Source organism: Homo sapiens, chromosome 13, assembly GCF_000001405.40.
Source record: "Homo sapiens chromosome 13, GRCh38.p14 Primary Assembly".
NCBI classification, from domain to species: domain Eukaryota; kingdom Metazoa; phylum Chordata; class Mammalia; order Primates; family Hominidae; genus Homo; species Homo sapiens.
In genome coordinates this window covers 112,914,874-112,940,117 of record NC_000013.11, presented here as the reverse complement: position 1 = coordinate 112,940,117, position 25,244 = coordinate 112,914,874, and the positions used below count along the sequence as shown (strand labels likewise).

The window sequence follows — 25,244 nt, the reverse complement described above, 5'->3', positions numbered from 1 at the left end:
CGACTTAATGATATGGATGCCCCCACCCCCCGTTGTATAAAAACTTGATAAACTGCCCTGAAGAAGGCCTCTGACCCAATCACCACCCCCAGCTGCAAGCATCCCCTGTAAGCCCGCTCTGCACCTGCCTAGAACTTTTTTTTTTTTTTGAGATGGAGTCTCACTATGTCTTCCAGGCTGGAATGCAGTGGCACCATCTCAGCTCACTGCAACCTCTACCTCCTCAGTTCAAGTGATCTCCTGCCTCAGCCTCCCACGTAGCTGGGATTACAGGCATGCCAACATGCCCAGCTAATTTTTTGCATAGAGATGAGGTTTCATCATGTTGGCCCGGCTGGTCTCGAACTCCTGACCTCTGGTGATCTTCCCACCTCAGCCTCCCAAAGTGCTGGGATTACAGGCGTGAGCCACTGCATCCGGCTTGCCTAGCACTTTTGATACTAAGAAGAGTGTCTCTCCCTCTGCTGCACACCCATAGGACGCTTTCCATTTAACCCAAAGTGTCCAGGTACAGAGTTAGCATCAGTGGATCTTCAGGTGACTGACAGCCAGGCAGACATGGGGTCCACACATCCAGCAATACAAGACATCCCTGGAGAGTATGTTTGTGGTTGGATTTTTATTTCTCTTATTAGAGACCAGAGGTTGATAACCAAGAGACAACTTTGTCCCCTGGTGTGGGAGCAGTGGGGGCATGCACTGGGCAATTTCTGGAGACAATTTTGGTGTTGCCACTGAGGAAAAGTCCTGGCATGGAGTGGGTAGGGTCCAGGGATGCTGCTGAGACCTCACACTGCACAGGTTGGGGACCCAAAACCAAGAGCCACCCAGCCCCAGATGTCCACGACGTGGAGGCTGAGAAACCTGCCGGAGGCCCTCAGATGCCAAGGAGACCTTTTGACCTTCCTTTGCTCAGACTATAAAACAAAATTCTTTATGTGTCGTTCTGTGAAGTGTCACAGATGAAAGTGAACCATCAGTTGTATCTGGAAATTGAAACCCAAACGTGACATTTTTCTTTCTTCTGTGTGAATAATTTTCCTTTCTTAAAAAGCTACACTGCTTATATTTCATGTTATTTACATATTCATAGCTCTTCCTGTCCTCGTGCAAGAGGGACTTGGGGCAGCTGTCACACAGCCCTGAGAACTCAGCCCACATGTCTGGTTCACTCCAAAGCTGGAAGAACCTGCCTGGCCCCCGCGTGGCAAGGCAGGAGGTCTCTGCCTCCAACCCAAGACCTCCCACCCCCTGCGCTGGCCCTGTTGCCCTCCAAGTTGCCCCAGCTCTCCTGCCTGGCCACAGCGTCTGCCTCGGTGGTTGTGGGAGCTGGGTTAGTGAATGTGTGCTCCCCAGAACCTTGCCCTGGTAGCGCCAAAACTTTGATTGTTACACAGGCTACCCAAAAGGCAGGTCTTTTATATTAAATAGTTGACATGAGCATGATAAAACTGAGGCCAAAAATGTGTTCAATTTTCAAATTGATCATTTTGGTTTAAAAAACAAAACAAAAGAAAAAGCGTCTTCTCTTAACACCCCAGTTTCAGGTCCCAAATCTGCCGTCAATGCTGCCGCAGTCATATTCCTGCAATTCCTTCATTTCACAATGAAACAAATTGTGAACAAATGTGGACCCGAAAGAGCCCACCCGGAGTGCCCAACTGGGCCTATGTTTAAAACAGCCCCAAGAGGCCACTTACTGACAATAAGCCACATGCCTTGAGCCCCCAGAACTCGCACCTCCAGTCAACTTCTGGACTTTCAGGGCTCACCTGAACCAACCACTCAGAGCTCACCTGAATCAACCACTCAGAGCTCACCTGAACCAACCCATCAGCGCTCACCTGAACCAACCCATCAGCGCTCACCTGAACCAACCCCTCAGCGCTCACCTGAACCAACCCCTCAGCGCTCACCTGAACCAACCCCTCAGCGCTCACCTGAACCAACCCCTCAGCGCTCACCTGAACCAACCCCTCAGCGCTCACCTGAACCAACCCCTCAGCGCTCACCTGAACCAATCAACCAATCAAAGCTCACCTGAACCAGCCACTCAGCGCTTACCTGAACCAGCCCATCAGGGCTCACCTGAACCAATCCATCAGCACTCACTTGAACCAACCAATTAGCGCTCACCTGAACCAACCACTCAGAGATCACCTGAATAAACCAACCACTCAGAGATCACCTGAATGAACCAACCAATCAGAGCTCACCTGAACCAGCACATCAGAACTCACCTGAACCAACCAATCACAGTTCACCTGAACCAACACCTCAGAGCTCACCTGAACCAACCACTCAGAGCACACCTGAACCAACTTATCAGTGCTCACCTGAACCAACCCCTCAGAGCTCACCTGAACCAGCACATCAGTGCTCACCTACCTTGGCTAATCAGGGCTCAGCTGCATCACCCAATCAGGGCTTAGCTGTATCAACCAATCAGAACTAACCAAATTTGAATCCTTCATGTGCATAAATTGACCTGAATGGGACCTGGGCAGGACCCATCACTATAAAACCCAAACCCTCCCTGAGTTCTCTGGAATATACTTTCTTTCACACCAAAGGCTGCAGCTTCCAGGTTTGTAAACTGTTCACTGGAATAAAGTCTCTTTCCTCCAAACTCCTTTTCAAAGAACTTTTGTTCATAAAATAATTTACCATCAGCTTTACCTAAGGCTTATAAACAATATATTAAGAAAATGTTCTAAATTTTTTCTGAAATGAAGATAACGTCCACCATACTATAATTTCAAACCTGGAGTTTAAAAAATATATGTAATCATCCCAGCACTTTGGGAGGCTGAGGTGGGCAGATCACTTGAGGTTAGGAGTTCGAGATCAGCCTGGCCAATATGGTGAAAACCCATCTCTACTAAAAATACAAAAAATTAGCTGGGCGTGGTGGCAGGTGCCTATAATCGCAGCTACTCGGGAGGCTGAGGCAGGAGAACAGCTTGAGCCCAGGAGGCAGAGGTTGCAGTGAGCCATGATCGAGCCACTGTACTCCAGCCTGGGGGACAAAGCGAGACTCTATCTCAAAAATAAATAAAAAAATAAAATATGTAATCATTTTAAGTAAAATTATTGTACTTTACAGTGACTGAGAACAGTCATATCTGTGAGGTTTGGATCTGTAGATTCAATATACTGCACATTGAAATATTCTGTTGCATCTGTACTGAGCATAGACAGACTTTTTCTCATGATTATGTCTCAAACAATACAGTGTAAAAACTATTTCACGGCATTTACATTGTATTAGGTATTATAAGGAACCTGGAGCTGATTTAAAGTCTACGAGGGAATGCACGTAGGTTATATGCAAATTCTATACCATTTTACATCAGAGAGATGATGGTATCTACACTCCATTGTTATGAAAAGACATGTCCTAGGAAACAATTTCCTAATATAATCTGAATTATAAATGTTTGGGAGCATACTGTAAAACATTTCAGATTATTTCCAGATTAGGGAAAGATCTTTTACCAGCAGTTCTAGGTAAATAAACTTGCTAAGACATCCCTGAATTTTCTGCTGCCAGTGAATAAATCACACCCCTTGTCACCTCCTTCTCTTCTTCCCCAAAAACACCTTTTCCCAAATAACCAGCATTAGATCAAAGCCTTTCACCCAAAGCTCATTAACTGCATTAGACGGCAGAGGGTGATTAGGAAAACTGTGTTTACTTCCTGGGCTGCAGAACCAAAGCACCATAGATTGGGTGGCATAAAAATATAGTAAATTTATTCTGTCTGCTCTGGAGGCTGGAAGTCCAAGGTCAAGGTGTTGGCAGGACTGGGTCTTTTTTTTTTTTTTTTTTTTTTTTGAGACAGAGTCTCACTCTGTTGCCCAGGCTGGAGTGCAGTGGCACGATCTTGGCTCACTGAAACCTCTGCCTCCCGGGTTCAAGTGATTCTCCTGCCTCAGCCTCTCAAGTAGCTGGAATTACAGGTGCATGCCCCTGTACCCAGCTAATTTTTGTATTTTTAGTAGAGACGGGGTTTCACTATGTTGGCCAGGCTGGTCTTGAACTCCTGACCTCAGGTGATCCACCCACCTCGGCCTCCCAATGTGCTGGGATTACAGGCAAGAGCCAACATGCCCAGCCAAGGGCTGGGTCCTTCTGAGGCTGCGAGGGAAGGATCGGTTCCAGGCCTCTCCCAGCTTCTGCTAGCTGCTCCTGATCCCTGGTGCTCCTTTGCTTGTGGCCGCATCAACCCCATCTTGGCCTCCATCATCACACGGCCTTTTCCCTGTGTCTGTGTCCAGATTTCCTCTTTCTATAAGGATACTAGTCATATTGGCCTAGGCAACCCCCACTCCTGCATGACTTCATCTTAACTACAGATTCTCCTCAATGTATGATGGGGTTATGTCCGATAAACCCAGTGTACGCTGAAAGTATCATAAGTAGAAAATGCACTGAATACACTCGACCTACCAAACATCACAGCTCAGCCCAGCTATCTCAACTCACTCAGAACACTCACGTGAGGCTACGGTTGGGCAAAATCATCTCACAGAAAGCCTACCTTAAAATGAAGTATGGGGTCGGGTGTGGTGGCTCACGCCTGTATTCCCAGCATTTTGGGAGGCCGAGACAGGTGGATCACCTGAGGTCAGGAGTTCGAGACCAGCCTGGCCAACATGGTGAAATCCCATCTCTACTAAAAATACAAAATTAGCCAGGCATGGTGACACGTGCCTGTAATCCCAGCTACCCAGGAGGCTGAGGCAGGAGAATCGCTGGAACCCGGGAGGCGGAGGCTGCAGTGAGCTGAGATCGTGCCACCGCACTTCAGCCTGGGTGACAAGAGCGAGACTCCATCTCAAAAAAAAAGTATGGAATATCTCATGTAATTTATTGAATACTGTACTGAAAGTGCAAAGCAGAATGGCCGTATGGGTATGTGAGGTATGGTTTCTAGTGAATGTACATTGCTTTTGAACCATCATAATGTCAAAAAATTAAATCCAACCACTGTAAGTTGAGGGCCATCTGTGATTACATACATTGGCAGTGCCCCTAACACAGTTTGAGGTACTGGGGTTTAGGGCTTCAACATACAAATTTTAAGGGGACACAATTCAACCACCTTGCTGGATTTCAATCTTGTAATGTGATCTTATCACATTTTCTAAAGTATTTATTTGTTGGGGAACATGAACACTAACGTGTCCAGGACCAGGAAGCAAAGTCAAGCCTCGAATGACTCCATTAGTGTCTCTGGCCCAAGCATTGCAGGGAGTGGCGGGGGCGCCCAGGGGAAAGGCTGGCCTATTTGTAATGTGGGGTGTCTGAACATCTCCAGGAGGCCAGCAGTGCCAGGCAGTGCTCAGTGGCCTCCAACCTTCCACCTGCCTGTGGAAGGGCCGCCCCGGCACACAGCCCCAGCACACGTGACCTCTTACCCCAAGTCACAGTGACAGCATCTGCCTGCAACTGGGCGGCTGAGAACGGGCAGCACAGCCAGAGACAGACTTGAGGTCCCAACCAGTGGTTCTCAAAGTGGGGTCTCCAGACCAGCAGCAGCAGCAGCAGCAGCAGCATCCCCTGGAAATCTGCACACTCTTGGAGCCCACATCAGACCTCTTGAATCAGAGACTCTGGATGTGGGGCCCAGGGGTCTGAGTTGCACAAGCCTTGAGGGTCCTGAGGCACAGTGCAGTTTAAGGCACTGTTCTAGCTCACCCTGCTGGCCCCTTCTCTGGCCCCGTGGCAATCCCGTGACAGGCACTGGATAAAGATGTGCAGACCACATGCCTGGCTCAGGGCAGGTCCCTCTAGAGACAGCGCTGAGCCTCCCCGCTGTGGACCATGCTTCCTGTTGCTACAGTGGGAAGGACGTGTGCCCTGCAGGCTGCTGGGGCCCTCAGGGGCATGCTGCATATGGTGACAGTCACATTCCTGTGGCAAGCAGGGGGCTTCCATGCATCTGCCGCCAGGGTCCCTGCCAGGGAGGTGGATGCACAAGTGAATGGCCAGATCCTGGCCCCTGGTGGGAAATAGGGTTAAAACATGGTTTCCTTATACCTTTAAAGCCAGGAACCCAGTGAGCAAATAAATGAATGGGCAAAAGGCTGGATGAAGTTTTATGAAATGAGCAAAATGAGAATTTTGATTTCTATTTACTAGTGGGCAGAGCTCAGGAGGAGGTCAGTACCTGCAGATGGCATCAGCACTGGACACAGACTGCCCAACAGAAGCCCAGGCCATGCCAGCTGAGCGGCCTTTCCTCCTGCAGGCATCTGTTAAGAAATGTATCCTCGGCCTGCCACAGGGGCTGCAGGGCAGAGCCGTCAGGGACACAGCCTTGGGTTCTCCTGCCTGCTCTTCGCTGACCGATGGCCAAGGGCCAGCTGCGTCATGATTTCTGCTATGAAATGGGTTAATAAGACTCGGGCACACCTCACAGGGTTGTCATGAGGATGAAGAGTTAACATCAACATATTCCATCTTTGTGCACTACTAGAAATATTTGTGCTGAAATAATAAAAACACCTGCTCACAGACTAAAAGAAAAATACCGAAATCCCAGACCCAATCCCCCACTTTCTGAATCTGCAGCAGGGCCAGGGCTGTCCTGGGGCCTCTCCTGTTCTCCTCCATCAGCGCACGGTCCCAGCACTCAGGTTTGGAAGGCGGGCAGCACGAGGCTGGACCTGGTTGGTCCTGACCCACGGGGCCATCAAGCCTCTTGCTAGAGCCAGGGCTGGGAGAGCAGATGCAGGGCTGGTGACAGAACACACCTCAGTATTCCTGGAGCACAGCTTCCACGGAGCTCCTGGTGGGAGGAACAACTGGCAGAGGAACCTCCGAAATTCCAACCACACAGACCTCTCTGCACACAGAGCCCAAGGAGACGGCAGCCTGGGCGTCTCTGAAAGTCCCATTGGATCAGACACACAACTGGAGCCAACCCCTGCGGGGCCAGCGCCCGGACCTCCAGGAGGCTGTGGGTCTCCCAGAAGGCTGTCGGCCCAGCACTCCTGCTCCTCAGCTTGTGGTTAAGTTCGTTTCTTTCTTTTCTCCTTCCTTCCTTCATGTTTATTTATTTATTTATTTATTTATTTTGAGATGGAGCCTTGCTCTGTCACCCAGGTTGGGGGGCAGTGGCACAATCTTGCCTCACTAAAATCTCCACCTCCTGCGTTCAAGCAATTCTCCTGTCTCAGCCTCCTGGGTAGCTGGGATTACAGGTGTGTGTCACCACACCAGGCTAATTTTTGTATTTTTAGTAGAGACGGGGTTTCACCATGTTGGCCAGGCTGGTCTTCAACTCCTGACCTCAGATGATCCACCCGCGTTGACCTCCCAAAGTGCTGGGATTACAGGTGCCAGCCACCGCACCCAGCCAAAGTCGTTTATTTCTCTTTTGCTAAAATACAGATACCTATGAGGGGCCACACAGGCCCACTGACGGTACTGAGATGCTTCTTTTTTAAGTAACTTTGTTTAGCTTTGTTTAGAACAGCTTTAGATTTACAGCAAAACTGACATAGAACAGGGCTCCCACACACCCCTCCCCCAGTGTCCTCCAATATTCATATCTTAAGCTTATGGTGCCTTTGTTGCAATTAATGAGCCAATATTGGTACATTATTATTAACTATGCACAGTTTATTCAGGTTTCCACAGTTTTTGCCTAATATATTCTTCTGTTCTAGGATTCAGTCATCCTGTCTCCTTCAGCTCCTCTTGGCTGTGACAGCTTCTCAGAGCTCCCTTATTTTTGATGACTTTGACAGTTTTGAGGGCTACTGGTCAGGTATACTGGAAGCCTCTGTTGGAACTCTGACGTCCTTCTCATGATTGGAGTGGGGAGGATGTGCTTGGGGAGGAGGACTACAGAGGTAAAGTGCCATCCCGGTCACGCCTTACCCAGGGCACGAGTCTACACGCCTGGTCGCCATCGGTGCTGACCTCGATTGCCTGGCTCAGGTCGTCAGGTCCTCTGCTGGGAAGTTACTCTTTCTCCCTCTTTTCGTCTTGAACTCTTCGGAACCACATAGCTGCGCACATCCCACACTCAGGAAGTAGGGTTCTGAGCTCCCCTCGTGACAACAACTCATCTACATGAAGGATGGGGAATTCTTCTGCAAGGGAGACTTATCTCTTGTCTCCAGTCATGTATTAATATCTATTCAATCATTTACGTCAGTGTGGACCCACGCTTCTTCATCTTGTTCTTGGGGTTATAATACAACGCGACTTGACTTTGCTGCTCAAATTGTTCTGCTTTGGTCATGGGGAGTGTTCGGTGGTTCCTGCGTCCCTCTGGCCTGCCCCCATCCACGTGGGTTTGGGTTTTGTTTTGTTTGTTTTGTTCCTCCCTTTCTGTCACTGTAAGATGATCCAGTCTCATCTTGCATACTTCCTGCCTCCATCCTGGAATCTGCGGTTTCTCTAAGAAGCCCAGTTGCTTTTACTGAAGAATGGAATTAGAAACCAAGATCTGGCCACTGGGGACGCTCGTGGACACTGGCTGCTGCTGCTTCCAGGCCCTCTCAGCTGTCAAGGTGAGGAGAGGCAGGCGTGTGCTATGGGATGTGCACAGTATTTCTGTATGTCGCCACCTGTATCTGCACTAAGCTAAGCGTCAGTTCACACTGACGCCGCACACCTGCTCTGTTACAACACGGGTGTAGCCTCTCCTGGAACAGTGAGAAAGCAGCTCCCATCCGCAGACAGCTGCTCACCTAATCGCTCAGTTTCAGCTTCCGGCAGAGCAGCGTCAGCACTGCCGACCTGTATCTACGGGAAACGACGTAATTAAGTGGAGCCTGGGGCGTTTGTGTGGCTTCTTTTGCCTCTAGTCTCACAGACCCCACTCCTGCCCAGAGTCACGCAGGTCAGCACCCTGTTCCTCTTCTTCCGTGAGGCGGTTTCATGCATCTTCAGCACAGGTTGGCTCTCTGCCTCCTGTGCAGGCAGGAGAAAGGGATGTGGAAACACAGAGTGCCACTCCCTCCCCACTGGGAGGCCCCAGAAGACACAGCCAGGACTCTGAACCTCTGTTTGTCATCTGCACGCTGAACCGCTCAGGTGAGAGGCGCGTCCTGGCTCTAACACGCTCCAGTAAAGCTGGCTTGTGTCTCCTGGTTCCTGCATTCCTTCCGGGGACCCCTCTGACCTCCGAAATGATTTTTACTATTTATTTATTTATTTGAGACGGAGTCTCACTCTGTCACCCAGGCTGGAGTGCAATGGCGTGATCTTGGCTCACTCCAACCCCTGCCTCCTGGGTTCAAGCAATTCTCTTGCCTCAGCCTCCTGAGTAGCTGGGATTACAGGCACGCTCCACCATGCCTGGCTAATTTTTGTATTTTTAGTAGAGATGGGGCTTCACCATGTTGGCCAGGCTGGTCTCGAACTCCTGACCTCAAGTGATCTGCCCTCCTCAGCCTCCCACAGTGCTGGGATTATAGGCATGTCCTAAATAATTTTTAAATTTGCAGGTATTAAGATTTACTCTGTGCTGTGCATCTGTATGGGTTTTGACAAATACATGATATCATATACAGTAGTTTCACTGCCCTAAAATCCCCAGAGCTCCACCTACTCACCCCTCTCTCCTCTCAGCAACTATGGATTTTGTCACTGTCTCCATAGTTTTGCCTTTTCCAGAATATCACAGAGTTGGAATCATACAGTCTGTGGCCTTTTCAGATTGGCTTCTTCCTCTTGGCAATAAGCATCTAAGTTTCCTCTATGTCTCTTCATGACTTAGCCCATTTCTTTTCACTGCTGAGTAATATTCCATCATCTGCATGGACCACAGTTTGTTTATTCATCTACTGAATGACATACTGGTTGCTTCCAGGTTTTAGTGCTTGTGAATAAAGCTCCTATAAACACTTATGTGCAGGTTTTTGTATGGACATGTTTTCAACTAGTTTGGGTAAACACCAAGAAGCAAGATCACTGGACTGTATGGTAAGAGTGCATTTAGCTTTGGAAGTAACGGCCATACTGTCTTCCCCACTCCCTCCGCTCCATCCCAGTGAACGAGAGCTCCCCATGCCCTGTGTCCTCGCCAGTACCAGGCGTTGTGAGGTTTTGTGGAAGCCGATGCTCTAACAGGTGTGTAGGGGCATATGTAACTCTCTAATGACAAATGATTCTGAGCATCTTTTCTGGCACTGGTTTTTATTAGAGCGTTATCCCAGCAACGGCTTTCAATGACAAATGGGAAGAATGAACGTCACAAAACAGGGGTCATCTGGGAAAGAAAGGATCGCCACAAACGGAAGAAAACAACAAGCAGCCAACTGCTAACTCAGCCACAGTGACCGTCCCAAGTCACTTCCCGAGCCTGTGGTCACTCCGCCATCCCGACCATGCAGTCCGTGATGCAGGCGTCATCATCTGCTTTCTGCAGAAGAGGAACCCGAGGCCGGAGGTTCTGGGCAGGGTGCTCAGGATGCTGTGGCCAGCGGTAAGGGGCCAGGGTCTGGAGCTCCACCCACCTGGTGATTCTGACACCTGCTGTGGAGGGGCCTGAGGGCAGGGGCAGACTCCATGCACTTCACAGATTTCATCAGGAGTGTGAAGAGTTAACCTGGAAATGAGTTTCAAATGAACTCCCTGTTGTTTTTCCCAAGTGGTTTTACTAATGCATTTAAGAGAAGGCGGAAAGGGCAGGCTCCCATCCCGATAAAAGATAAATGGCTTTATCCCATTTCCTGGCCTATAAGTGGCAGTGTGCCAAGAAGACCAAACTGCTGACAGCGTCCTGCAGCCACGAAGTTGAACAAACCGCAGCGTTGCTGCAGCCGCGCAGGAATCGGGGAAAGAGATTCACATTAAGGACAACCACGAATCCAGGAATAAAGAGCAAACACCCCTTTGAAGAGGGAGACCCAGTGGCCATTTATGGAACCAATATAAAACTGATCAGGTAAGTCCCTGATTTCTCCATGGCAGGAAAAGGCAAAATGAGCCAACAGCTGGAGCTCCCTGTGCAGGCAGGAGAAAGGGATGTGGAAACACCGAGTGCCACTCCCTCCCCGCTGGGAGGCCCCAGAAGACACAGCCAGGAGGACTCTGAACCTCTGTTTGTCATCTGCACGCTGAGTAGCTCAGGTGAGAGGCACGTCCTGGCTCTAACATGCTCCAGTAAAGGCTGGCTTGTGTCTCCTGGTTCTGTGTCCACAGGTGCCAGCCACAGACAGCCCCACTGCAGATGCCACAGACTGTCAGCTGGGAGGAGGCGCAGACCTCCATCCATGTATGTGGCCAGAAAAGGCCCTCGGCCGGGAAGTCCTCTCAAGGAGGGTCTGAGGAGCACGCACATCCCTCTCCCCTGCAGGGAAGCGTCAGAGCTGCTGGAGACTGTTTTTAAAAAACATATGGTCCTTTCCCCGTGCCAAGACCACATGCGTTTTACATGTGTCTCTTAGTCCTGTGTGTGTCCCATACAACAGGCAAAGTAAAGTTTCAGAGTGCACACTCCAGCTATTCACAGACACTAGCGATGCCAATGCTCCTATAAAACAAATACTAGGAGTAGACAGTCATCATGACTTTTTTGGGGGTGAAGGGAGGAAAAAAGCACCATATTTATTTGAAAGATATGGACATAGTTCCTTTCCATTTAGATAGCATCTTTGCAAGTACAGTAACGGCTGGCATGGCTAGACAGAAATAGGCTCTGTGCACATTTCCAAGGATTATAACGAGGCACATTCACGCAGAGAATTAATTATGACTGTGAGGAAAAAAGACCACAGCAGTGCTTAGAAGACTGAGGAATCAAGCAGGTAGGGCAGTGTCTGCCATGCAACTTACATTATAAAAAGTTTTCTTTAAATCATAGAAATTTCAAACGAGTGCAAAAACATCAGAAACGGTGCAATGACTGCAACAACGTTGGTGCACGGCCGGCCGCGTTTCACCCGCATCCCCAGCAACGGCTGCCCACCACCATCAATCCAAGGCAAACCCCAGACAGCACAGAACTGTTAACACGTGCAGAGTTCAGTAAACATTCCTAAAAGGTAATGACTTTTTATACACATAAACACAATACAATCAATTCCACAGCCACAATACAATTAATAATTATTCAGAATTAAATATCTAGCCAGTGTTAACGTTTCTCCTGTTATTTTTCTCTGTGTTTTCTAGACACATTTTGTTTGAACTAGGATCAAAATCTTATCCAGTCCATAGCCTGCAATTGGCTGCTATTTCCTGAGTCTCTTTTGATAGACAGGTTTTCTTGCTGATTCTCTTTTCTTTGTATTTTTGTTGTTGTTGTTGGAGAAACCAGGTCATTTGTCATGTAGAGCTTCACATGAGGTGGGTTTTGTCGATTACGCCCCCTTGGAGGTGTTTATCATGTGCCTCTGTCCCCGGTATTTCCTATAAATTGACAGTTACATCTAGGTGCCTGGTCAGATTCTGGTTCAGCTTTTACTTTTACTTTTTTGGCAAGAGCAGTTCACCAAGGGAGGTGCTAATGTCCAACTCGCCTTCTGTGATGCCAGCAGCTTCCTGATCAGAGGCTGTGGAATTGACTGTATTGTGTTGATGTTTTATAAAGAGTCATTCATTACCTTTTAGTCTTGCACTTGCTGGTAGAACAAGATGTTGTAGGCTCGTTGGAAACATTTTTCCCCAGACCCGGTCATTTATCCAAAGACCTCCAGATCTTCTCAGTGGGAATGACATGAGGAGACCACAACTGGGCTCTCTGTGTTCAGTTTTTTCCATGGACAGGTCTAGAAACCATGTATTTTACGATAAAAGACACTGGACTTATACAGATGCTTCCAGTTCAACATCAAGACTAGAAGACTATTAAAAAATTGCAAATAACTCTATTTCTGCCAGAGTACTTTTGGGACAGATTCCTAGAAGTGGAATTGCTGGTCAAAGGGCAAACGTGTCTATGACCTCGCTAGATACTGCCAAGTTCACATGATGAGGTCATGCCATTTGCCGCAGCCATGCCACGGGAGAGTTCAGCCCTCCCCACTTCTCCAGCTAAACTTCTGATTAGCAAGAGGCAGTATGCCAGTGTGCTTTTAATTCATATTTCTCTGTAAGTGTGATTTAGCATCTTTTTTCTTTTAAATTGACAAAAACTGTATTTATAGCACACTACATGATGGTCTGAAGTATGTATGCACAGTGGAAAGGCTAAATCGAGCTAATTAGCACATGTCTTAACTCATATGCTTATTTCTTAGTGGTGGGAACACTTAAATCTACTCTTAGCAATTTCAGAAATTCATTATAGTCACCATACTGTACAATAATCCCTGACCAACATCTTCCCAGCACATCCCACCCCGCCCCCTGCCCCAGGCGACCGCCACTCTGCTCCTATGAGTTCCCCTTTCTGCGAGTACACATGTAAGTGAGAACATGCAGGATTTGTCTTTTTGTGCCTGGCTTATTTCACTTAACAGAATGTCCTTTGGGTTCATATATGTTGTCACAAATGATACGGTTTCATCCTTTTCCAAGGCTATACAGCACTCCACTGTGTGTATATAGATGAAGCCACACAGCACTCTGCTGTGCATATCGACCAGGTGGCACAGCACCCCCCTGTGCATGTAGACCAGGCCGTACAGTACTCCGCTGTGCATGTAGACCAGGCCGTGCAGCACTCCGCTGTGTATATAGACCAGGCCGTACAGTACTCCGCTGTGTATAGAAACCAGGCCGTACTGCACTCCGCTGTATATGTAGACCAGGCCGTACTGCACTCCACTGTGTATGTAGACCAGGCCGTGCAGCACTCCGTTGTGTATGTAGACCAGGCCGTACTGCACTCCGCTGTGTACGTAGACCAGGCCATGCAGCACTCCGCTGTGTATATAGACCAGGCCATAGTGCACTCCGCTGTGTATATAGATTAGGCCGTACAGTACTCCACTGTGCATATAGACCAGGCCATACTGCACTCCGCTGTGTATATAGAGCAGGCCGTACCGCACTCCGCTGTGCAAACAGACCAGGCTGTACAGCCCTCTGCTGTGGATACGGACCATGTTCTGTTTATCCCCTCATCTGTGACCGATCCCATATCTTGGCTACTGTGATGGATTTCTTTTTCTGTGAACTACTGGTTGATATCTCTAGATTTTTTTTTCTATAGGGATAAAAATTATGCTATTCTTTACTTTAGAAACCATATATTAAATAGCAACCTTTCATTTTGATAATTGCCAATATTTTTTCCAGTCTGTCACAGGACTTTTCACTTTGCTTCTTGTTTTCTTCTCATGCAAAGTTTAAAATACGTTTAATGTAATCAACGCAATGCTTTCTTGTGTGGTTTTGCTTTATGTTAAGATTCCTTTACTAGATATAGGAACATGCACGGAGCAGTTTATCACATCAAACGTATGTATGTACCCAGTGACCACTGCCCAGGTCAGCTAAAGAACATTTCTAGTACCCCAGGAGGCTTCCTGGCCCCTTCCCAACCAATATTTCCCAAGAGGTAGCAGCCATTAATACTATGACCACTACCAGAGAAGCTAGTTTTGCCTGATCTTGAGATTGATGTGTGAACTGCAGGCATGTTGTAGTGGTTTATTTCTTCTCGTGTAGCTTTGTGGGGTATGAATATGATGCCCTTTATTTAACCCGTTTTCTCTTAAGGCTCCTAGAGGTTAGGGTGTCCAGCGTGGGGCTCCTGGGCATCAAGCTGCTGTGAACGTCCACATACGTACACGTACAGAAGTACTCCTTCCTTTTGGGTGCACAGTTAGGGTGGAATCGGAGGGCAGGCACATGCTTAGCTTTAGACCCTGTCCATGTTTTCCAAAGTGGTCATAGCAATATGCCTTCCCACCAGGAAATGTGAGCACTGGTATCCCACTTCTGCACCAACCACTTGGAATAGCCAGTCTTTAATTTTAGCCACTCTGGTGGACGAAGAATGGTACCCTATTGTGGTTTTAATGTACATTTTGCCCTTGAATCATGATGCCAACCACATTCTCATATGCTTATTGGATATGCCTATTGGATTACTTTTTACATTTAAATCACAGGTCCATCTGGTACTTATCCAGGTGAAAGGTGTGAAGAAGACCTGACTTTCATCTTTTTCCATGAGGCTATCCAGTTATCCCAACACCATTGATAACCAAGGTCATCTTTTCCAGCACGAAATTTACATGCTGCCTTGAGCTACATGGATCTTCCCCAGGCAGCCTGATTTGCTTCTGGATTTTTATTCTGTTCCATTCACCTGTCCTTGTTCTTATGCCAGGATCCACACCATTTTCATTAAAGAGGCTGTATAGAAAATTTTAACGTCTGGGCAGCCCATTCCCCTCTGATACTCTCCAGGGTTTTCTCAGGTGTTCATGTTTGTTTCTCTAAGTGGGTTTTATGATCAACTTGTCTAGCACCCTGAGAAAGAAAAAGATGATGTGTTTATTGGGGCTCCTTAAGTGTATGCATTAATTCAGGGAGAACTGATGTCTTTGTCATGTGGAGCTTCCCTATCTAAAGCTATCATATACCTTTTCCATGTGTTCAAGTCTTCTGTGTCTCAGGAGTATTTTATAGTTTTCCTCGTATCAGCATTTATTAAACGAGAATGCTAAAAACAGAGGTACTTTATTTTTGCTACTATAAATATTATCTCTCCCATTAGATCTTCTCCTTGGTTTTTGTTCCTACCTATGATTTCTACATGTTAAGCAGCAGGGTATAAAATTTATTAATTCCCTTATTTTTTTGTAGCATTTTATCCAATGATTATTTTGGGTTTTCCAGAAATGTAACAACTGCATACGGAGAAATTGAAAATAGAGATAATGAAAAGGAAAAGGTAAACTCCCGTGTCTGTGCTGTCTCTGTAGCCCAGCTGCGTGTGGGGGCACTCTAACGACGACACATCGTGGGGGGGTTGTGGGGAGCTTCACTCTGTTCTTGGCTTCAGTGGGAGAGCTTCCAGCATTTCCTGCTGAGTAGGATGCTGGCTTTGGGGATAATGTGTGTGCGTATTTTTAGGTCATGTTACAGAAGCTCTCCCTTCTTAACCATGTCGTCAAATTTAACACCACCAGTAACGGGATAAACCGGTCTCGTATGCTTCCTGATAGGACGCTCTGGGAAGGACACATCAGCATTTCTGGGCCAAAAATGCATCTCCTGGATTTAGCAATAAACATTAGACAAACCCCAATTTAGGAATGTTCTACAACATAACTGGCCTGCCCTCTCCAAAGTGGCGGTGTCATGAAACAAAGAAATACTAAGGGGCTGCTCCAGAGTAAAGAAAGATAAAACACAGGACAACTGAATGCAGCTCCTGCTCCAAATTCTCATGCTCCTGAATTTTCTTTTGCTTTAAAGGACATTTAGGGGGACAACTCATAGACTCTGGATCTACATACAAAACAGCAGTGATTAGAGAAGAGTGTGTTGAAGTTAATTACCTATTAGGTTGCTGCAAAGGTAATTGTGGGTTTTGCCATTCAAAGTAATGGCAAAAAACAAACAATTTGGAGAATTATACTCTAGTTTTATAAGCAAACAAATATATTTGTTAAGAAGTAAACACTGGCCAGGTGCGGTGGCTCACACCTGTAATCCCAGCACTTTGGGAGGCCGAGGCAGGTAGATCACCAGGTCAGGAGATTGAGACCATCCTGGCTAACACGGTGAAACCCCATCTCTATTAAAAATACAAAAAAATTAGCCAGGCGTGGTGGCGGGCGCCTGTAGTCCCAGCTACTCGGGAGGCTGAGGCAGGAGAATGGCGTCAACCCAGGAGGCGGAGCTTGCAGTGAGCCGAGATCTTGCCACTGTACTCCAGCCTGGGTGACAGAGCAAGACTCCGTCTCAAAAAAAAAAAAAAAAAAAAAAAAGAAGCAAACACTGAAGTTCATGGAGATAAAAGGGTAGCCTGTCTGTCACGTACTCTCTGACACCTAGAAAATAATAATGTATATTTGTGTAATATGCACACATGAGAGAAGAAAGCAAACATGGTGAAACATAATATTGAGGAATCTGAGTGTCTTATATACGAGAATTCTTTGTGCTACCCTTGCCATTGTTCTGTACATCTGAAATTGTTAAAATAAAGGTTACAGAAAAAAGTATCCACCAATTCCTATGACTGGATTTCTTTTAACATAAAGAGGCACCGCATTTGTCGAGTGCTTTTTCCACATCTATGAAACTTACATGATTTCTCTCTATGCATTAATGGATTCTAATGTTAACCATCTTTGCATTCCTTGAATAAACCCCTAATTGTCACGATGGTTTTTGTTTGTTTGTTTGTAGAGATGGAGTCTTGCTCTGTCGCCCACGCTGGAGTGCAGTGGCACGATCTCAGCTCACTGCAACCTCCGCCTCCCAGGTTCAAGCAATTCTCCTGCCTCAGCCTCCCAAGTAGTTGGGACTACAGGCACGTGCCACCACGCCTGGCTAATTTCTTCTGTGTTTTAGTAGAGACAGGGTTTCACCGTTTAGCCCAGGCTGGTCTTGAACTCCTGAGCTCAGGCAATCTGCCCGCCTCGGTCTCCCAAAGTGCTAGGATTACAGGCGTGAGCCACTGCGCCTGGCTGATGGGTTTTTTTTTTTTTTATGTGTTGTGAATGCTTTCAGATTTTTACTTCAATGCTGAGAAATGAGATTGAGATCAGTCCATAGTTTATTTCTGCCAAAGTACTATGTTGCCAGGTTTGGGGATCAATGTTGAAATCACTACATAAAGTGACATTAAAGGACAGAAAAAGAAAACCTCACAAAGCAGTTTAAGTTGCACTGAAATTGTATGATCTTTAGAGATCTGGAAGACGTTCTGTGTGGAATAATCTGGCTTGCTCTTTCGGGGAAGAGCTCTTTCCTTTCCCCATTTATTCTAGACTTTGGCTCTATCAGTATCAAATTTGGAAAGCTGTAATTTTCTGAAAAACTATCTGTTTCTTCTACGCTTTCAAATTTATTGAGTTTTGGTTGTACAAAGTCGACTACTATATAAAGTGCCCTCTGGCAGGGGCTGCTCCCGGCCCACACGTTTCCAGCTCTGGGCCTCTGGACTTTTCCTCCATTCACTGTGAGCTGGGGCCTCATGTGTCTCTTTCAAAACAGCTTTTAGATTTATTATTTTTATTATTTCTATCCTTATTTTCTGCTTTTATCTACTTTTTGTGGCTTGTTTTATTGTTCTTTTTCTACCATTTTTATGTAGGTATTTGCATCCTTTTTACATTTTTACTGATATAAGTATTGATATAATCCTCCTGACACTCTCTCCTGCCATATTTCATAGATTTGCTAAGTTGTGTGTTGTACTTTTAGGAACTCTCCACTTTAGCTGGCATGGCCTCCAACTCAAAGGCTGCTTAGCGGCATTTTTGTTTTGTTTCTTTTCCAGCCTTCTGATTTTATTCTTAACGTCTAGGACAGTGTTCCTGTATTATTCATATCCCTGGGAATTTGAGGGTGTCTCTGTCGTCCAAAATACAATCAGTTTTCTAGAAATTGTGTCTCGTGTATCTAACAGGAAGGTTTATTTTGCAGCAGTGTTCGCAGGTTGACCGACTCTATGGGACTTCCCTCAGGGTTTCTGTGTCTTGACAGAATTTTCTTTGATCTATCTTAGACTAGGAGGTGGGAGGTCGTTTGGTTCCTGATTGTTTTCCACACAAATCCTATAGACTCTGATTTACTAAAGTTATTGCTGCACTCCTGGATGCTGACAGGTAAACAGTGTGTGGAGCCTCCCTGCAAATCTCAGACTTTATCAATGGAGGCGTCTTTATCCTTCAAGGCTTTTGCTCTGAATTCTGCGTTGTTAGGCATCAAACTTGCAACCTCTGTTTTCTTACTTGGTTTGACCAGCCTGCCCTATTCGTCCTTCTATTTTAACTTCTTCTGGCAGTTTTTTTGTTTTGTTTTCTGTTTTTTGTTCTGTTTTGTTTTGTTTTTTGTTTTTGAGACGGAGTCTTGCTCTGTCGCTCAGGCTAGAGTGCAGTGGTGCAATCTCGGCTCACTGCAAGCTCTGCCTCCCGGATTCACGCCATTCTCCTGACTCAGCCTCCCGAGTAGCTGGGACTACAGGCGCCCGCCACCACACCCGGCTAATTTTTTGGATTTTTTTTTTTTTTTAGTAGAGATGAGGTTTCACCATGTTAGCCAGGATGGTCTCAATCTCCTGACCTCGTGATCCGCCTGCCTCGGCCTCCTAAAGTGCTGGGACTATAGGCTTGAGCCACCGCGCCTGGCCATGGCTGTGTTTCTTTCAGGAGTGTCTCTTGTGCAGAGTGAGTGGCTGCACTGCTCTTTGTGAGCCAATCTGTGCCCTCAGCCTGTGGGGCTCTTCCTCCTCTCCACCTTCTGAATCCTGTCCACCTGGAAGAGCTCGGTCGGGTCCTCCCTGCAAGCCCCCCGCCCACCCACCACCAGCACCCACCCACAACCCAACTCTCCCTGCAAGCCCTCCCCCTGGCACCCACCCACAACCTGACTGGATTACTGTTGACTAACTGCTCCCCTCCAGCTTCAGAGCAGCCCGGTAACCGCAGGGCAGCAGGCCATACAATGTGCAGGCTACTTGCCATCCTGTCCTGCGTTCTGGGGTCACCGGCCATCCACAGGCATCTAGTTTCAACAGATGGTAAATTCTAGTCTTTCTGCATTTAACCAAATCTCAGGAACTCAGCTCAGCTCAACAGGTACAATGTGCCCCATGAATATCAGATAACTGATCACAAACACGCGTGTGCACACACACACACAAGCCAGCAGCAACACACAGACATCACTCTTCATAGCTGATTTTGAATGCAGAGTTTTCTTCTGCATTTTGCACCAACTACAAACAACAAAAACTCTATGTTTTCTGTTAGAGAACAACAGAACTGTACTCTACAGACACACGCCTCCTCCCACCTCTCCGCCATGTACCCATACGTGAGCTCTTCACTCTGCAGTTCAGCCAGGTAACACGGGCTTGTCTGCCAGATTCTCTCCCTTAGACACCTAACTGTCCAGGTAGCATGGTAACCTTCCTGATTCTAACTTGAGACCCAGAAAAACTCCAAACTGTGGGAGGGACAGCACAGCTTGAGATAAAGGAAACCTAACAGTCACTCCAAATGCAGGAAAACACTGATTTCATGGAGGAGGGGTGCCTCGCTACCATAAGAAAAGAAGGAAAGAGACATCTGAAACATCCATAATTCAGCCATGCCTTGATATTTGAGGGAAGAGAAATTACACTGGTTTTGGGGTCCTTCAAAGCATGAAAAATTTGATATTGCATCTCAAATACATTTCATGGTCTACTTAGTTTAATTTTAAAAATTGCATTTTGGAGTTACAGATGGTACTGATAAAATGAATGAATACTGTTATCAAGAGTGTAACTAAAAAAATCTGTCTAGTAGGTATGAAGAACAAATGTTAAACTAGCTAAGAAAAGACTACAAATACAAACTCTTGGGAAAAACACCCACTTAATAACAATTACTCTCAGAATTTGCAGGCTTTATGTGCTTTCTATTTTCTCAAGGCGTTTCTAGGCATTTTTTTTTAAAACAAAACAGTGATTCCTAACAGTTTTGAAAGAAAAATTTCATTTAAATATTATAAAAATTGCAAATTCTGGCCGGGCGCGGTGGCTCACGCCTGTAATCCCAGCACTTTGGGAGGCCGAGGCGGGCGGATCACGAGGTCAGGAGATCGAGAGCATCCCGGCTAAAACGGTGAAACCCCGTCTCTACTAAAAATACAAAAAATTAGCCGGGCGTAGTGGCGGGCGCCTGTAGTCCCAGCTACTTGGGAGGCTGAGGCAGGAGAATGGCGTGAACCCGGGAGGCGGAGCTTGCAGTGAGCCGAGATCCCGCCACTGCACTCCAGCCTGGGCGACAGAGCAAGACTCCGTCTCAAAAAAAAAAAAAAAAAATGCAAATTCTTACCTGATAGTCTTTTGTTAGAATATATAATTGAAAAAATGCCTAAAAACTAAAAGTTATATTGTGTGGTTTTATATCTTGTAAATGAATTTGAATTAATGAAATTGTTGCTAGGCACAAGGAAAGAGAATGAAGGAATAGTAAGAGAGGCACGGGGCCCACAGACCACAGGTGTCAGCATAGAGGTCTGAGAGCCTTTCAACAGCGCCTCTGCCAGCAAGTGCAGTGGAAGGGGGCGCGCGTCGGGGAAGCGCAGGGGCAGAGCCCACAGGTGGGGACACGGAGGATGGGGCACTTCAAGAATCCGTGTAATCCAGATGGGCCTCAGCTCCTGCACTGGGAAAATGGGACCCCGCTCGTGAAAGTCTGGGCCGATGCTTCAGTCAGGTCTCTTACCAAAACGACTCTCCAGTCCACTTTTGCTCAGTGAATTAAAATGCTGCATCCCTAACCAGAAAGCACTGCTGCTCTGCATATAATGTTTATATCCACAGCACCTCCCAGGAGACAAAAGCAGGAAATGCCAGCCAGCTGAGTGACAGACACCAGCTCTGCCCCTGTTCATCACTGGAATCTTCCAAGGCAGCTGACTTTGGAGCCACCCCACGCCCCTGCATCCCCCAGGCTGCATCCCCCCAGGCCTAGGTTTTTCAAACTGGCCTTTCCAGGGTGTGGTCCCCTCCCTACTCTCTCCCCATGGACATTCTCTCCATATGCAACCCAACAAGGACAAGGGCCTGCACACCCTCAACTTGCCGAGGTGTGGGAAACCCCACGGGGAAGTGAACTGCGTCAGTTACTCCTGCTCTCTCTCCCAGTCTACTGGAGTTCCCCAACACGGAGCTTCCACCAAGCTGGCTTCCCAAAATGACGTTCTCGTGACGTTCCTGTGATCCCCATCCCCAGTGTTAGGGTAGTAACAGTTCTCCCCTCAATGGGGCTGTCAGCACTGTTTCCAGGGACCCTCCTCATCCCTAACATGCGCTCAGGAGCTTCAGTTCCTCCCGCGCAGATGCCTTCCCGGACACAGTGCGTTCCCTTAATTTGCGATTGCTAGGAATTATGAAGGCAGCACAATGACTCAGAGACAGGTCCTGCCTTCAAGAGGTTAACACCCAACTAGGTGAAGACAAATCCTCAAATAATTATGCCACTGGTTAGAAAAAGTGGCAAGTTATCTGGAAAGATACAAAGTCCCAGGGGACTTCAAACAGACCAGGAAATGGTACTGGACTGTGGGCTCAGCCCTGAAGGTGTCCTGAAAGGACTGAGTTCACCTGGGGACGCAAGCCGGCCTGGAGCAGGGGGGTGGGCAGGTGAGGCTAGGTCAGAGTCCAGAGGGTCTAGAAGCCAGCTTTCTTGTAAGTCTTCAACCTTAGTAAGGAGAACCCCCGCAGCAAACAAGAGAAGGGAAAATCACATGAAATGAAACCTACAAACACACAAACTACCCATCCAGTGGAAGTACCTCCAGGTCAGAGCTGAACAGGAAGACACCAAGGAGGGCCTGAAAGAACATCAGGGGGAACTGCGGCCGACTGTGGAGGTCTCTCAGGAGAGGGTCCCACCCAGAGGGAGGAAGGAAGGCACGAAGGGCCAGGTGGGCCACCGGAGGGGGCTGTGTTTACCCTGCTGAACTGAGGATTTCAGCAGAGAAGGGCCCGCACTCACCTTCGAGAGGTCACCGCTTGCTGTTCTGCGAGACGGCGGTGGGGAGGGACAGGCGCAGAGGCAGCGCGACCTCAAAGTGGGAGACAGGGCGGTAGCCTGGCTGGATTCTGGATCTGTTCTGGAGGCACAGCCAACAGGATTTCCCGGGAGGTCGGATACGGGCATGAGTGAAAACACAGATGAGGACGATGGGGTTTCTGGCCAAAGGAACTGGACGGAGAGGTGCAGTGAACTATGGTGGATGGAGCTGCAGTGGATGACGCGGCTCTGGGAGACCTGTAGGATGCGGGTGGAGGCTCTGCGGAGGCAGGGCGGTGCAGTGCCCGGGGGAGGGGTCCGGACTGGAGCTGTGGACTAGGAATCATCACACTCAGGTGGGTCACAAGCCAGGGGACTGAGATCGCCGAGGGGCTGAGTACAGATGGAGAGATCAGGCAGGTTTAGACAGGAGAAACGACAGCACCTTTGAGTTGACAGGAATCCGGGGAGAACTCAGACTTGGCGATGAGGGAGGATGACTGCCCTGGAGTGGGAAGAGGGATGGGGACACAGACCAGTGTGGGGAGAGCGTGCAGGACCCTCAGAGGTCCGGCAGGAAGGCAGGGATGTGGTGCAGAGCAGAGGTTCAGGGACAGGCAGGGGACAGGCAGGGATGCTCTTCCAACTGGTTCAGCTCTGTCAAGCAGGAATCCAGTCCACCCATTAGAAGTGAGGATGGGGAAGAGGCCTTGGGGGCGAGGGGAGAAGCAAGGCGTGAGCTGGTTGTTCGGGGAGTGGCCCTGAGGACCACTCTAAGGACCACTCGGAGGACCACTGTGGCTCAGAGACTGGAGGATCAACACCGTCTGCCCGGTGGAACGCTTCATGCAGCTATACTGAGCTATGCTCGGCACACATGACAGCCACCTATACAGACCCCAGTGCAGGGGTGGAGCTCAACAGGGTGCTGGTGCAAGGAAGTCAGAGGACACGGGAGCCGAGGGGTCAGGGCGTGACGCTGGGTGAGAAGGGAGAGGACCTCACAGGTGAGGCACGCGAGAGCGCGGACGTGCGGAGACTCATCCCACCACCTCCCCAAAGACTGATGAAACACCAGTGAGTCAAGCAGGAGCTCAGAAGATTTTCTAAAGAAAAGGACAAGAAGTAGAGGCAAAAGCACAAATCAGTGAATCAGAAATTGGAAAATCAGTAGAACTACATTTTGAAAATGGCTTCTGGGAACAAAAGCAATAAATAGATAAACTATCCGCTAACCTAATCAAGGAAAAAGAGAGAAGGGACAAATACTTAAAATAGGAAATGAAAGGGGAAAAGTCGCCTCGGAATCAGAGGCCCTGTCCCCAGGCTAGAGTATAGTGGCGCAATCTCAGCTCACTGCAACCTCCGCCTCCCAGGTTCACGCCATTCTCCTGCCTCAGCCTCCTGAGTAGCTGAGACTACAGACAACCGCCATCATGCCCGGCTAATTTTTTTTTTTTTTTTGTATTTTTAGTAGAGACGGGGTTTCACCGTGTTAACCAGGATGGTCTCGATCTCCTGACCTTGTGATCCACATGCCTCGGCCTCCCAAAGTGCTGGGATTACAGGCGTGAGCCACTGCGCCCGGCCTGTTTTTAATTTTTAAAAAATTAAAACAACAACAACAACAACAACAAAGTACCCATCTCAGCCTGAAGGCCAGTATAATATTGAATAGGGATATTACAGAAGGCAGCATCACCAAACCTGAACATCACTACTACTACTTAATCACGTCCAGGAGATGCTGGGCAATCCACTCGGGACGAGATGGGAAGCACAAAAATTGACAAGAAAGAAAACCATGATTATCTGCAGATTTGTTCATGCAATCATGTAATTAGATAACAGGAACTTTGGTTCCTAGGAAAAGGTACACTAGCAAGAGTGTCCAGGAAGCTCTTACCAAGGACAGCAGTGAAACGAGACCACCAGCCCTAGTAATTAAAGTAGTGGGTGTGGGAAAATGGAAGGCAAGCAGAAATGAGACAGAACAGGGAGTCCAGAAACAGACTCAAATATGTATGAAAATTCAATCTATTTTAATGGTGGCAACTGCTGATGCGTGTAGTGAGGATGGATTTTTTTTTTTTTTTGTGAGACAGAGTCTTGCTCTGTCACCCAAGCTGGAGTGCAGTGGCGCAATCTCAGCTCACTGCAACCTCCGCTTCCCGGGTTCAAGCGATTCTCCTGCCTCAGCCTCCTGAGTAGCTGGGACTACAGGTGCCTGCCACCACACCCGGCTAATTTGTTGTATTTTTAGTAGAGATAGGATTTCACCGTGTTAGCCAGGGTGGTCTCGATCTCCTGACCTTGTGATCCACCGACCTCAGCCTCCCAAAGTGCTGGGATTACAGGCTTGAGCCACCACGCCCGGCCAACATGGAGATTTTGATGAACGATGTTAGGATCCCCAGGTCAGAAAAGCAAACTTGGACCCATACTTGACACCATACAACAAAATCAATCCAAGTGGGTCAAAAGTTTAAATGGAAATAAAATATTAGGAAAAAAATGGGTGAATTCCTGTATAACCTCAGAATAGGAAGACCTTTTCAACTACGACTCAAAATCCAGAAGCCCCCAAATACTGAGATTCAACTACATATTTTAAGTGGCAAAAGAAAAAAAAA

General features: G+C 47.6%; 1 protein-coding gene and 1 long non-coding RNA gene across 8 annotated transcripts in view, besides 1 other annotated feature; one reads left to right on the top strand and one right to left on the bottom strand.

Moving 5' to 3' along the window:
- Positions 1 to 25,244, bottom strand: part of MCF2L (MCF.2 cell line derived transforming sequence like) — a 205,408-nt gene that overhangs the window by 159,625 nt on the left and 20,539 nt on the right. The window lies entirely within an intron of this gene.
- LOC124903214 (uncharacterized) lies at positions 8,766 to 17,260 on the top strand. Of its 2 annotated transcripts, XR_007063878.1 has the most exons (3): positions 8,777 to 9,058; positions 10,170 to 10,913; positions 11,832 to 17,260. It is a non-coding gene; the product is annotated as an uncharacterized LOC124903214 (long non-coding RNA). The 2 variants fall into 2 exon arrangements; XR_007063877.1 differs by having other exon boundaries at positions 8,766 to 9,058; positions 10,170 to 17,260.
- Positions 9,935 to 10,777: an enhancer, noted in NCBI's record as "H3K4me1 hESC enhancer chr13:113583655-113584497 (GRCh37/hg19 assembly coordinates)". NCBI's record gives its function as "activates a minimal SCP1, AML or CMV promoter by ChIP-STARR-seq in primed H9 embryonic stem cells {active_cell/tissue: H9 hESC(primed)}" and the evidence as "EXISTENCE:reporter gene assay evidence [ECO:0000049][PMID:30033119]".